The sequence below is a fragment of the Homo sapiens genome, chromosome 17 (genome assembly GCF_000001405.40).
Source record: "Homo sapiens chromosome 17, GRCh38.p14 Primary Assembly".
Classification (NCBI taxonomy): Eukaryota; Metazoa; Chordata; class Mammalia; order Primates; family Hominidae; genus Homo; species Homo sapiens.
Window position 1 is genome coordinate 73,078,101 of NC_000017.11, and position 13,491 is coordinate 73,091,591.

General features: G+C 44.4%; 1 protein-coding gene across 35 annotated transcripts in view, besides 2 other annotated features; it reads right to left on the reverse strand.

Moving 5' to 3' along the window:
* SLC39A11 (solute carrier family 39 member 11) overlaps positions 1 to 13,491 on the reverse strand; it is a 446,740-nt gene that overhangs the window by 432,152 nt on the left and 1,097 nt on the right. For 32 of the 35 annotated variants that reach the window (XM_017024335.2, NM_139177.4, XM_006721757.3 and 29 more), the window contains 2 exons: positions 10,557 to 10,675; positions 6,708 to 6,746 (listed from right to left, as the gene is read on the reverse strand). In XM_017024335.2, the coding sequence (XP_016879824.1) occupies positions 6,708 to 6,746; positions 10,557 to 10,664 (147 nt within the window). In that variant the 5' untranslated portion in view covers positions 10,665 to 10,675. Of the gene's footprint in view, positions 1 to 6,707; positions 6,747 to 10,556; positions 10,676 to 11,613; positions 11,751 to 13,491 lie in introns of those variants that run through there. The other 3 variants (XM_011524494.2, XM_017024332.1, XM_017024333.2) reach the window with 3 other exon arrangements.
* Positions 11,545 to 12,045: an enhancer, noted in NCBI's record as "H3K4me1 hESC enhancer chr17:71085784-71086284 (GRCh37/hg19 assembly coordinates)". NCBI's record gives its function as "activates a minimal SCP1, AML or CMV promoter by ChIP-STARR-seq in naive H9 embryonic stem cells {active_cell/tissue: H9 hESC(naive)}" and the evidence as "EXISTENCE:reporter gene assay evidence [ECO:0000049][PMID:30033119]".
* Positions 12,046 to 12,546: an enhancer, noted in NCBI's record as "H3K4me1 hESC enhancer chr17:71086285-71086785 (GRCh37/hg19 assembly coordinates)". NCBI's record gives its function as "activates a minimal SCP1, AML or CMV promoter by ChIP-STARR-seq in naive H9 embryonic stem cells {active_cell/tissue: H9 hESC(naive)}" and the evidence as "EXISTENCE:reporter gene assay evidence [ECO:0000049][PMID:30033119]".

The following is a 13,491-nucleotide window of genomic DNA, read 5'->3' on the forward strand; positions in this document are numbered from 1 at the left end:
GGTGGCGTGCACCTGTAGTCCCAGCTACTCGGGAGGCTGAGGCAGGAGAATGGCATGAACCCGGGAGGCGGAGGTTGTAGTGAGCCAAGACCACACCTTTGCAGTCCAGCCTAGGTGACAGAGCAAGACTCCGTCTCAGGAAAAAAAAAAAAAAAAAGAACTTTGAAAAACTAGGTGCCCCATCACTCATTTGTAAGTTGACATTTAAAACATTTTTGTCTCCAGTTTAAATAGTTGCAGAAGATATCATTTTAGGCATGTAAATATGCAGACAGATAGATCAGATATAGATAGATAGGTAGGTAGGTAAGTAAGGAGGTAGGTAGGTAGCTAGGTAGATAGATTTGTTTAAATAAAACTGTTTCATTAGTCTTTTGTTTGTTTGTTTTTTGTTGTTTTTTTTTTTGAGACGGTCTCACTCTGTTGCCCAGGCTGGAGTGCAATGGCGCAATCTCGGCTCACTGCAACCTCCACCTTCCGGGTTCAAGCGATTCTCCTGTTTCAGCCTCCCAAGTAGCTAGGATTACAGGTGCCCGCCACCATGCCTGGCTAATTTTTGTTTTTTGTCTTTTTTTTAATAGAGACGGGGTTTCGCCATGTTGGCCAGGCTGGTGTTCAGCTCCTGACCTCAGGTGATCCACTTGCCTCAGCCTCCCAAAGTGCTGGGATTAGCAGGTGTGAGCCACCATGCCCGGCCTATCTCATCAGTCTTTTAAGTGAATCCAGTAGGTCCTAAATAGAATAGAGATTTTATTCCCATCATTATCCACTTAAAAACAGAATACATAAACAAGCCTATGTTTCTTTGTTTGATGCACTTTTGTTTGCATGTTACATTTTACACACACACACACACAAATGCACCATAAGCAAACTCTTTTTCAAAAGCCAAAAAATTTACATCATTGCTTTTTCTGCTTGACTTGTATTTCAATTCTATTTCACCACAGAATATATCCTAAAGCAACTTATATTTATACTAGAAAATCTATTGATTTTGTTTGTTTGTTTTTGATGAAGTCTCACTCTATTGCCCAGGCTGGAGTGCAAGGGTGCATGCAATCTTGGCTCACTGCAACCTCTGCCTCCCCGGTTCAAGCAATTCTCCTGCCTCGGCTTCCCAAGTAGCTGGGATTAGAGGCATGTGACACCATGCCCAGCTAACTTTGTATTTTTAGCAGAGACGGGGTTTCACCATGTTGGTCACGCTGGTCTCAAACTTCTGACCTTAGGTGATCCACCCACCTCAGCCTCCCAAAGTGCTGGGATTACAGGCATAAGCCACCGCACCCAGCCATATTATTGATTTCTTTATCATGCTTCCCTGCCATAAAAATATCTGCATACATTTTAGATTAAAACCCTCAGTAAAATCAGCATAGAAGAGACATACCTTAAGGTAATAAAAGTCATCCAGGACAAACCCACAACCAACATTATACTGAAAGGGGAAAAGTTGAAAGCATTCCCCCTGGGAAATGGAACAAGACAAGGATACCCACTTTCACCACTTCTATTCAACATAGTACTAGAAGTCCCAGCCACAGCAATCAGACAAGAGAAAGAAAGAAAGGGCATCCAAATCAGTAAAGAGGAAGTCAAACATCGCTGTTTGCCGACGATATGATCGTATACCTAGAAAACCCTGAAGACTCATCCAAAAACCTCCTAGAACTGATACATAAATTCAGCAAAGTTTCAGGATACAAGATTAATGTATACATATCAGTAGCTCTGCTATACACCAACAGCAATAAAGCTGAGAATCAAAGCAAAAACTCAACCCCTTTTACAATAGCTGCAAAATAATAATAATAATACTTAGGAATACACCTAACCAAGGAGGTGAAAGACCTCTACAAGGACTGCTGAAAAGAAGTCATAAATGACACAAACACATGGAAACACCTCCCATGCACACAGATGGGTAGAATCAATATGGTAAAAATGACCACACTGCCAAAAGCAATCTACAAATTCAACGCAATTCCCATCAAAACACCACCATCATTCTTCACAGAACTAGAAAAAATAATCCTAAAATTCGTATGGAACCAAAAAAGAGCCCACATAGCCAAAGCAAGACTAAGCAAACAGAACAAATCTGGAGGCATCACACTACCCAACTTGAAACTATACTTTAAGACTACAGTCACCAAAACAGCATGGTACTGGTATAAAAATAGACATGTAGACCAATGGAATAGAATAGAGAACCCAGAAATAAAGGTAAATACTTACAGCCAACTGATCTTCTACAAAGCAAACAAAAACAAAGTGGAGAAAGGACGTCCTATTCAACAAATGGTGCTGGGATCATTGGAAAGCCACATATAGAAGAACAAAACTGGATCCTCATCTCTCACCTTATACAAAAATCAACTTAAGATGGATCAAAGACTTAAATGTAAGACCTGAAACCATAAAAATTCTAGAAGATAACACTGGAAAAACCCTTCTAGACATTGACTTAGGCAAAGATTTCATGACCAAGAACCCAAAAGCAAATGCAACAAAAACAACGATAAACAGATAAGACTTTTAAACTAAAAAGCTTCTGTAGGTCAGGCACAGTGGCTCACACCTGTGGTCCCAGCACTCTGGGAGGCTGAGACAGGCAGATAATTTGAGGTCCAGCGTTTAAGACCAGCCTGGCCAACATGGTGAAACTCCGTCTCTACTGAAAATACAAAAAATAGCCAGGCATGGTGGTGGGCGCCTGTAGTCCCAGCTACTTGGGAGGCTGAGGCAGGAGAATCGCTTGAACCCTGGTGACAGAGGATGCAGTGAGCTGAGACCGCACCACCACACTCCAGCCTGGGCGACAGAGTGAGGCTCCATGTCAAAAAACAATAAAATAAATAAATAAATAAATAAATAAATAAATAATAAAAAGCTTCTTCACAGCAAAAGAAATAATCAGCAAACAGGCAACCCACAGAGTGGGAGAAAACCTTTGCAACCTATACATCTGACAAAGGACCAATATCCAGAATCTACAAGGAACTCAAACAAATCAGCAAGAAAAAAACAAACAATCCCATCAACAAGTGGCCTAAGGACATGAATGGACAATTCTCAAATGAAGATATACAAATGGCCAACAAACATAAGAAAAAACGCTCAACATCACTAATGATCAGGGAAATGCAAATCAAAACCACAATGCAACACCCCTTACTCCTGCAAGAATGACCATAATGAAAAAATCAGAATATAATAGCTGTTGGTGTGGATGTGGTGAAAAGGGAACACTTTTACACTGCCAGTGGGAATGTAAACTAACACAACCACTGTGGAAAACAGTGTGGAAGTTCCTTTTAAAGAACTAAAAGTAGATCTACCATTGGATCCAGCAATCCCACTACTAGGTATCTACTCAGAGGAAAAGAAGTCATTACACAAAAAACATACTTGCACACACGTGTTTATAGCAACACAATTCACAATTGCAAAAATATGGAACCAGCCCAAATGCCCACCAATCAAGGAGTGGATAAAGAAAATGTGATATATATATATATATATACATACACACACACACACACACACACACACACACACACACACATATATATACACATATATGTATATATGTATGTATATATATACACATATATGTATATATGTATGTATATATATATACATATATGTGTGTGGGTATATACATATATATATCATGGACTACTACTCACCCATAAAAAGGAATGAAATAATGGTACTCGCAGCAATCTGGATGGAATTCATTATTCTATGTGAAGTAACTCAGGAATGGAAAACCAAACATCACATCTTCACTCATAAGCGGGAGCTAAGCTAGGCATAAGAATGATACAATGGACTCTGGGAATCTGGTGGAAAGGGTAGGGGGGCTAGGGGTGAGCGATAAAAGACTACATATTGGGGACAGTGTACATTGCTTGGGTGATGGGTACACCAAAATCTCAGAAATTACCGCTAAAGAACTTATCCTTTTAACCAAACATCACCTGTTCCCCCCAAAACCTACTGAAACTAAAAAAAAAGAAAAAAAAAAAAAAAAGGGCAAAAATAAATAAATACCTACATACATTTTAATTTAATTTTTTAAATTTTCCTATGAGCCTAGGGCTCTAAATGCTTACATAACAATTTCTTGGATTTAATAATGATAACTATTAGTGATAGGAAAGAGATACATAAGAATAAATAATATATAAGAAACCATTTTATAATTATTAAACATTACAAAGCAAAATGTTATTTGAAATGTATATGTTAGTGAATGGGGCTTTATTCTTGTTTTTTCAATTCATTCATCTATATGAGGATAGTTATTAAGTAGTCATTACTAGAATAAGACAGAGTTCATCAATTTTATTTTTATTTGATTTTTTTCTTTTTTGTTTTGTTTTTTTCTTTTTCATAACATAAGGAAAGAGAAAATGTGTTCATATAAATGAGAGGATGGGGGAAAAAAAGAGATGTTGTGTTATAATACTGGCATTCTGTTCTTTGTACTATTTTCAAGTTACAGATCCAAAATCCCTCCATCATGGAAAATTACTTTCAAGGACCTCTCTGTTGACAATTTGATTAGATCCACCTTCAAAGGACAGGATCACATCAGAACTGCTAAAGGAATTGTGGGCCGGGCATGGTGGCTCACACCTGTAATCCCAGCACTTTGGAAGGCCGAGTTGGGTAGACCACCTGAGGTCAGGAGTTCGAGACCAGCCTGGCCAACACGGCAAAACCCCATCTCTACTAAAACCACAAAAAAAAAATTAGCCAGGCGTGGTGGTGCACACCTGTAATCCCAGTTACTCGGGAGCCTGCAGCAGGGGAATTGTTTGAACTCGGGAGGCGGAGGTTGCAGTGAGCCAAGATCCAGCCACTGCACTCCAGCCTGGACAACAGAGGGAGACTCCATTTCAAAAAAAAAAAAAAAAAAAATGGACTTATGCCCAGTGATTAGAGACAAGGCCCTTCACTTTCTCCGTGCCAGCACCAACATTCCAAGGGGCCCTCCATGTCTGCCTGAAGACCATGCCACCCAGAGACAAGGTTATAAGGCAAGAGCATCTTTCTTGTGTAAGGTGGGAAAGGGAAGCTGTGCCAAGGAAGGAAAGAAAGTAGGGCTGGCTTCCCCGGCATTCTCAGGCACAGCAGTTATAGGGAAGAGAACGTATGGAAGCTGAGGACCTAGAAACTAATTTTCTCAACACTCTCTGTGCACCTGTGTATGGCTCAGAAAGGACAGTGTTTTTGACGGAACAGTGGCTCCAGTCTAACAGCTACTGACTCAGATGGCCTCTGGCAGGCTCCACCTCCAGGCTAGTTTTTCCAGATCGCAGGGCTATAAAAACTGAAGAAAGAAACCAAACCCTGATCAACTAAAAGGGAAACCCACATATTACACGCCTTTTGATATGGGTAATACATCTGCAATACACAGCACCATGACATCTTCATGCCTGAAAAATGGAATCTGAACTAATCAAGACTCCAGGTCTAACTCTCAGCTTACAGGAAATACAGGGGACTGAGGAACAAGTTAGGCAGCACCACGAGGAAGTAATCAGCCAACATTCTAGAGACAAATGACCCAGTTTCTCCAACAAATTACTAGCATGAAAAAAAAAATGAACTGTTAAAAAATTAAAGAGACTTAAAAGATATAACAAGCAAATGCAATATAGAAACCTTGTTTGGACCCCAATTATAACAAAACAATATTAGATGACACCTTTAGAAAGATGAAGAAAATCTGAATATGGACTGGATGTTAGATCATAAAAAGGAATTATTAATTTGGTAGGTATAATGGCCATGTGATTATGTTTATTTTTAAAAAGTCATTCAGTTAGACATGTGTGTTGAATTTACAGGTGGAATTACATGTCATCTGGGATTAGCTTTTATAAAATATTCTAACCTCCCAAGAAGTTTTGGGGAGGACAGGTGAACTGAGATTAGCAAAATGTCAATAATGATTGAAGTTGGGAGATGGGTGTCTGGGATGCATTACAGGCTTCTATCCACAATTTTTACATGTTTAACAATGTCTATAATATGCTGGGTTCCATAACTCACGCCTGTAATCCCAGCACTTTTGGAGGCCTAGGCAGGTGGATCACTTGAGCCCAGGAGTTCAAGACCAGCCTGGGCAACATGGTGAAACCCCATCTCTGCAAAAACTCAAAAATCAGCCAGGCACGTTGGCACATGCCTGTAGTCCCAGCTACTTGGGAGGCTGAGTTGGGAGGATCACCTGAGTCCAGAGAAGTTGAAGCTGCAGTGAACCATGACTGTGCCACTGTACTCTAGCCTGGGTGACAGGGTAAGGCTCTGTCTCAAAAAAAAAAAAAAAAAAAAAAAAAAGGCCTATAAAAAAGATCTTTTAAGGGAGAAGGGGAGGAAAAAGTATATTTAGTTAGAGCCAACTATGTATTAGGCTAGGCCTGTGCTAGGCCCTTACCAAATAAGATCTTATTTCCCTAGTCCTGAGGCAGCTGTCAAATAAACCTCGATTGCTGTCTAAAGAGAAATGGGCATTTGATAAGCTGGGAAATAAATATGGCAGGTGATAAGAGGGAGGTGTTAGTGCCTGAGGAACACAGAGATGCATCTAGGTCGCAAGGGGAGGGACTGAAGACAGCCCTTGGCAGACACATGTCAGAATCAGTATGCCTCAATTTCCATTTCTCCTACTACATGCTACTTACCCCTGCAGCAAAGCCAAGACTTCCATCTAAGATCCGCCTCTGAAAATCAAAACAAGATGTTTCAGTTTCCAAGAGACAATAAGATGATGTTTCCTGGGACAAGAAGAAACCATAAGGCCCAAAAGAGCCACGCAAATAAAGACTGGCCGACTCCTGAGCTCGTGAGCTACTCAGTTTATACCATGGGCCAAGAACCACGGGGAAAGTCTTTGGTTAACTTTCCACCCACCCCATAGCCAATCAGAAGCGTTCTTTCAAGTGGTGCTTGGCTTGTCTTGGCCCTTGTGTTGTCTCTTACTCAGCTTTCCCTGTGAATTACAACTGTAAACCTTTAGTAAGTAGCCTGTCTACAAGTTGGGAATTACTGAGCGTTGGTGAGGAGCAGAGGAGCAGGTGGAACAATCAAAACCCTCACACAGGCCGGGCACAGTGCTCACATGTGTAATCCCAGCACTGTGGGAGGCTGAGGCGGGCAGATCACCTGAGGTCAGGAGTTCAAGACCAGCCTAGCCAACATGATGAAACCCCATCTCTACTAAAAATACAAAAAAAAATAGGCTGGGTGCAAGGGTTCATGCCTATAATCCCAGCACTTTGCGAGGCCAAGGCAGGTGGATCACCTGAGGTCAGGAATCTGAGGTCAGCCTGGCTAACGTGGTGAAACTCCATCTCTACTAAAAATACAAAAATTAGTCAAGCACGGTAATGCATGCCTGTAATCGCAGCTACTTGGCTGAGACAGGAGAATCCCTTGAACTCGGGAGGCAGACATTGCAGTGAGCCAAGATCATGCCATTGCACTCTAGCCTAGGCAACAAGAGCAAAACTCCGCCTCAAAAAAAAAAAAAAAAAAAACCCTCACACAATGGCGGTGCAAACGGGTACCACCATTTTGGCAAACTATTTGGCAGCACCGATGAGAGGTGAACACTATGTGTGCCACTCCTGAGTAATCCCATGACAGGAATGCACTTGTATTCAACAAACCCATGAAGAAAAATGTTCGGCAGTGCTAAGAGCCCAAAACTAGAAACTACCCAAACTCTCACCAACAGTAGGATGGATATGTTAACTAGGATACACTCATACAACAGGTACCATAATGGCGATGGGAACGCACACACATACTACAGTTACATCTTACAAACAGACAGGGACATTAAAGAAACTGGAAAACAAGTAGGGTAAAATCAGCCAGATGCAGAACAGTACGTACTATATGATTACTCCATCTAAATAAAGCACAGAAACAGGGAAAATATCCGTGCTGTTAGAGATCACATGGGAGATGACCCTTGGAGTAAAGGTTGGGGATGGTGAGATTGGAAGGGAGACTGAAGGCTCCTGATTGGAAGGGGCTGTGAGGTGAGGAGCTGGTACTGTTTTGTTTCTTGATCTGGGCTCTAGTTTCATGAGCACTTGTGGAAAGTTATCAAGCTGCATACTTATATTAGGTTGGTGCAAACCTAATAAAATGCACCAGCCTAATAAAATGTGCATTTTTCCATAAGCATCTTCTATTTCAATACAGATTTTTTTTTTTTTGCTATCTATCCATAGATGAATGGATAAACAAAATGTGGTATGTACATACAATGGAATAGTCTTCAGCCTTAAAAACAAAAGAAATTCTGGCACATGTTATAACGTGGATGAGCTCTATGGACATTCTTTGAAGTGAAAGAAGCCATGTGGTCTACAGAACTTTTCACCTTACAAAATTAAAACTCAGCTGGGCATGATGGTGCACACCTGTAATCCCAGCAGTCTGGGAGGCCGAGGCAGGCAGATCACTTGAGGTCAGGAGCTCAAAACCTGCCTGAGCAACATAGTGAAACCCCATCTCCACTACAAATACAAAAATTAGCTGGGCATGGTGGTGCACACCCGTAGTCTCAGCTACTTGGGAGGCTGAGGTGGGACGATCACTTGAACCCAGGAGGTGGAGGTTGCAGTGAGCTGAGATCATGCCACTGAACCCCAGCCTGGGTGACAGGGCAAGACTCTAGCTCAAAAAAAATAAAAAATAAATAAATAAAACAGCCTGGCCGGATGGGGTTACCAGCGAAACCCCGTCTCTACTAAAACTACAAAAAAAATTAGCTGAGCGTGGTGGTGTATGCATGTAATCCCAGCTACTCGGGAGGCTGAGGCAGAAGAACCTTTTGAACCTGGGAAGCAGAGGTTGCAGTGAACCAAGATCACGCCACTGCACTCCAGCCTGGGTGACAGAGCAAGACTCTGTCTAAAGAAAAAAAAAACAAACAAAAACAAAAAACCCTGAAACTCTGTACTCATTCAAGAATAACTTATTTCTGCCCTCCTCTGTGGCCCCTGGCAATCACCATTCTACAATGTGTCTCTGTGAATTTGACTTATCTTGGCATCTTATATACCTAGGTTCCAGATAAACCATGTTTCTGGATTGTGTGTTTTCTGATTTCCAGTCTCCAACCCATCAGCTCCCGGGGGCAGTGCAGCGCAGCAAGGGAGGTCGGGATTTTATTGTTGAAATCAAGGCCTGCTGTACTGGTCTCTAACACAAGAGTGCCTGACTTGTGAACTTCCTAAAGGTGTTTTCATTTCCAGATCTCCCTCACAACATGTTGAACTAGATCTTAAGTCACTTATTCATTTGCCGTTTCTACAATGTCTCAGGCTACCGAGGTGATCGATGCAGGGATTGTGCATTCATCAAGATACCCATGGATGGCTCCAGGGCTGCGGACTGAGGGTGATCTGGGTTGGAGAAAAGAATGCAATTTCAGGTATATGAGGTGAGTGTGGGTTGTGCAGAGGTGTGGGGAGGGCATATGGGTATGGGTATGTGTGCAAGTGTGGGTATGTGGGACTATAGGTAGAGCGTGTAGAAGGGGTGTAAGGATGGGGTTGTGGGAGGAGGGAGAGATAGGCTGTGGGGCCATGACAGTGAGTGAGGGCACTGGGAGTAGGATACAAGGAAGATGTAGGAGAAAGAAGTAAGAGTTTGCAGGGGGCCAGGGACATGGGTCTGTCTATATTCATCCCAAGGGGAAAGGAAACAACCTGGAGATGGGTTGAAAAAAAAGGGAACAGATGCCCCTTCTTCTCCCAAGGTCTTTCCAACCATCCCACCCAACTCAAGTCCACAGGGGAGGACAGTTACACCTGAAATCTAATGTTCTTCGGTCACGCATAGTACCACTTGCTCCAGGCCTGAAAGAAATTACATGGCAGGCCAGGCACGGTGGCTCACACCTGCAATCCCAGCACTGTGGGAGGCCGAGGTGGGTGGATCATCTGAGGTCAGGAGTTTGAGACCAGTGGTGAAATCCCACCTCTACTAAAAATACAAAAATTAGCCAGGCGTGGTGGCACATGCCTGTAATCCCAGCTACTCTGGAGGCTGAGGCAGGAGAATCACTTGAACCCGGGAGGTGGAGGTTGCAGAGAGCTGAGATCCTGCCACTGCACGCCAGGCTGGGCAACAGAGCAAGATTCTGTCTCAAAAAAAAAAAGAAAAAAGAAAAAAGAAAAGAAATTACATGGCAGGTAGAAATTAGGCAGCGGGCTAACGAAGCCTCAATAACTGGGCTTCTCACTTCCTATTCCCTTCAAGTCAGGCTGTCAAGGGTCAAGAGGGGAGATGATGGTGCATGAAGGTGTCTACAGCAAGCAGACATCTGTTCTCCCGGCCTGGCAGGGAGAAGGTGAGAAAATAAGAAGACAGCGAACAAACCCCAGTACACAATGCCTGGGGGTGTGGCCAGGGGCACTGAAAAGTCTACAAACCTGCTCCATGGAGTGGGACAGTGCCCCTTTACCAACGGGCTCCCCACCAACATCCAGAACCAAAGCAAGGCAACTCACCTGTCCACTAGAGAATACGAACACGAGAGCTGCCCCAGCTGCTGTCATCCCCCAGGTGAAGAAGGTCCCCAGCAAGGCCTGGAACACAGAGCTGTGGCCTTGGAGCATGCTGGATACAGCTGTGCAAGAGGAGCGAGAGGGTCAGCCACCGGTGGTCCGTTTCAGTGACAGGCGCATATTCTGACGGGTCCTAACACCCTGTGTGGGAGCTGGCCTCCCTCCAGGTTGACCGTATGCACCCTTCCACCACGCCATCTGTGTCCCTCAGCCACCCAGCACACAGGTCAGGCTTCTCTATCCAGGTCCCCCAGGAACTGGAAATCGTCTTAATCTGAAAGAAGGCACAGGGAGATGCCAGGGGAATCCACAAAAAAGGCTGCAACATTGAAAAGTGGTTTCAAAGAGAAGCACAAAGAATGTGGTTTATTCCAGAAGAAGGGGGCATAGGAGGGTCTGATGCAGCCTCCCCCACATAATCTGCCTCTTCTACCGTCTCTTGCCCACCATCCGCACTCAGCCTCCACCAAAGACAGGTGACTAGCTCAGGTGATGTCAACACGCTTCCAATCTTAATCCCCATCACATCTGCAACAGCGCACCTGCCCAGCCAAAGGGTAAACTCCACCAACCAACTTTTGATACCCACCAACCCCCGACTCTCCAATCCCGTTCTCCATCATGCCTGCACGAGCACCCAACTCCAGCTCAACTGAATTATTTATGGCACCTTCCACAAGCCCCAGACAATCCTGCCTCCAAGTCCCTGTTCATGCAGTTCCCTCCTGGAATACCTTCCTTGCACATTTCCAGCCATCAGAACCCGGAGCACCCTCTGCAGCCCACATAATGCCAACCTCACGACCAAGGCTTTTCTGGCCTTCCCCAGCCCTGTCCTAGCATGCAGCTTTGGTCCTCTCTCAGTGTGGCTTTGCCTCCATCTTTTACAGCCTTAGTTGCTTGAGGACGGGGACGGTGCTTTTTCACATTTGGCACCCCTGTAAAATAGGGCTTTGTAACCCCTGAAAAATATGTGCTGGATGGAAAAGGGCCAGCTTACCTGCACAGGACAGTCAGCAAGGACAAGCAAAAGGACCCAGGAATGGAATGTCCCCTGGTCAACTCAGCACCCTGCTGCTGAAGCTGAAGTTACACCACCGCCCACCAAGGAAAGGAAGGGAAGTACCACTCCCTCTCATTTCAGTCCAGAGAACCTCCTCCAGACTTTAACATGCTTAAAATTCTGGATCTGAGATGACAATCAGATCTCTCCCTGTGGAAAGTTACAAGGCAGAGAAACCCATTTGTTGAAAAGCCCTGTGTTCTGGTACACAAACACTGGGCTCAGGGCCTCATATCAAAGCCTCATTCATCTCCCTGATGGTCTGCCAGCACCCAGAGGGCTGGCTGGACACAACCACACTGGGCTCAGCCCTGCCAGTTCCCGGTGCTCTGTGAGGAGCCAGCAGCCCTGAGCCTGCAGATCAAGAGCTGAAGACGCTGCCTCGATTGACCCTGGAAGGAAACCATGGCAGAGTGTGGACGCAGCCCTTATGCCAAGCGGCTCAGCAACACACCCAGGCTCAAACCTAGGAAGGGTATAGGTCCAGGTGAGCCCAGGTGAGCCCTGGCTCAGCCCCTGTGCCAGAAACTCTGAGATAAATAGCATCTATGGAATCAGACTCTAGTTCCCGCACTCTAAACGAACTGCACCAACTGTGAAAACTGTGACCACGCCAATTAAAGAAAAAAAAAATCATTTTCAAAAAACTACTACCCTTTACATCCGTCATCTTGCTAAGCCACCCTAAAAAGAGGGGTTGGTCTTTGTTTTTAAACCAAGCCATCTGGACCATTACACCAATCATCTATTCCGAGTTGCTGTGGACAAAATTTCAAACAGCATTTACAAAGAACAGCACAAAGGGATCATCCTCTTAGTACTTATCATCCAAGACAGGGCATAACAAAAACACCTTTCTTTCCTGTATTTGAATGTGCCTCTTGACAGCTACAGAAGAGAGCAAACAATTTACATTTGCCAACAGGCCAAAGTCAATGTGGATCTTGTGGGCTGGTGAACAGAACAGAGGGAGCTCGTGGGTGTTCCTGGTGGTTAGTGGGATAGGGAAACACCCGTCTAAGCCTGTCCCCATGTATATCTGAGCACCCTCCTGAGTAAGAAAAAGGGACACAGAGGGAAGACCGAGGCCACCATCCTTTCCATCCCAACAGGAGCAGCATTGATCACGGGCAATGCAAGCCCAGTGCCCCTCGGAGAAGTTTCTTCTCTATTTGCTGTTTTAAATCCTCGCTACAAGGGTGGTCAGAGAACCAGCAGCACTGGTCCGGCTTGGGAGCTAGTTAGGAATGCAGAAACTCAGGTCTCACCCCAGACTTTCTGAATCAGGGTCTGCATTTTGTGGAATTCCATGGGGGATTCTTATGCACATTAAACTGTGGAAAGCAAAAGATTAAAACTGGTAAAACTTGGCCAGGCGCAGTGGCTCATGCCTGTAATCCCAGCACCTTGGGAGGCCAAGACGGGCAGATCACCTGAGGTCAGGAGTTCGAGACCAGCCTGGCCAACACGGTGAAACCCCATCTCTACTAAAAACACAAAAATTACTTGGGCGTCGTGGTGTGTGCCTGTAGTCCCAGTGCCTGTAGTCCCAGCTACTCGGGAGGCTGAGGCAGGAGTAATCGCTTGAACCCGGGAGGCGGAGGTTGCAGTGAGCCGAGATCGCGCCACTGCACTCCAGTCCGGGTGACAGAGCAAGGCTCTGTCTCAAAAAAAAATAAAAATAAATAAATAAATAAAACTGGTAAAACTTCTACAATACCAAGAGCTTAGAAAATGAGTTCTCCTGCCCCATGTGGGATTGGCAAGAGCAAAGAAGAGTCCCAAAAGAACAGAAAGTTTTCTGCAGAGTCTCAA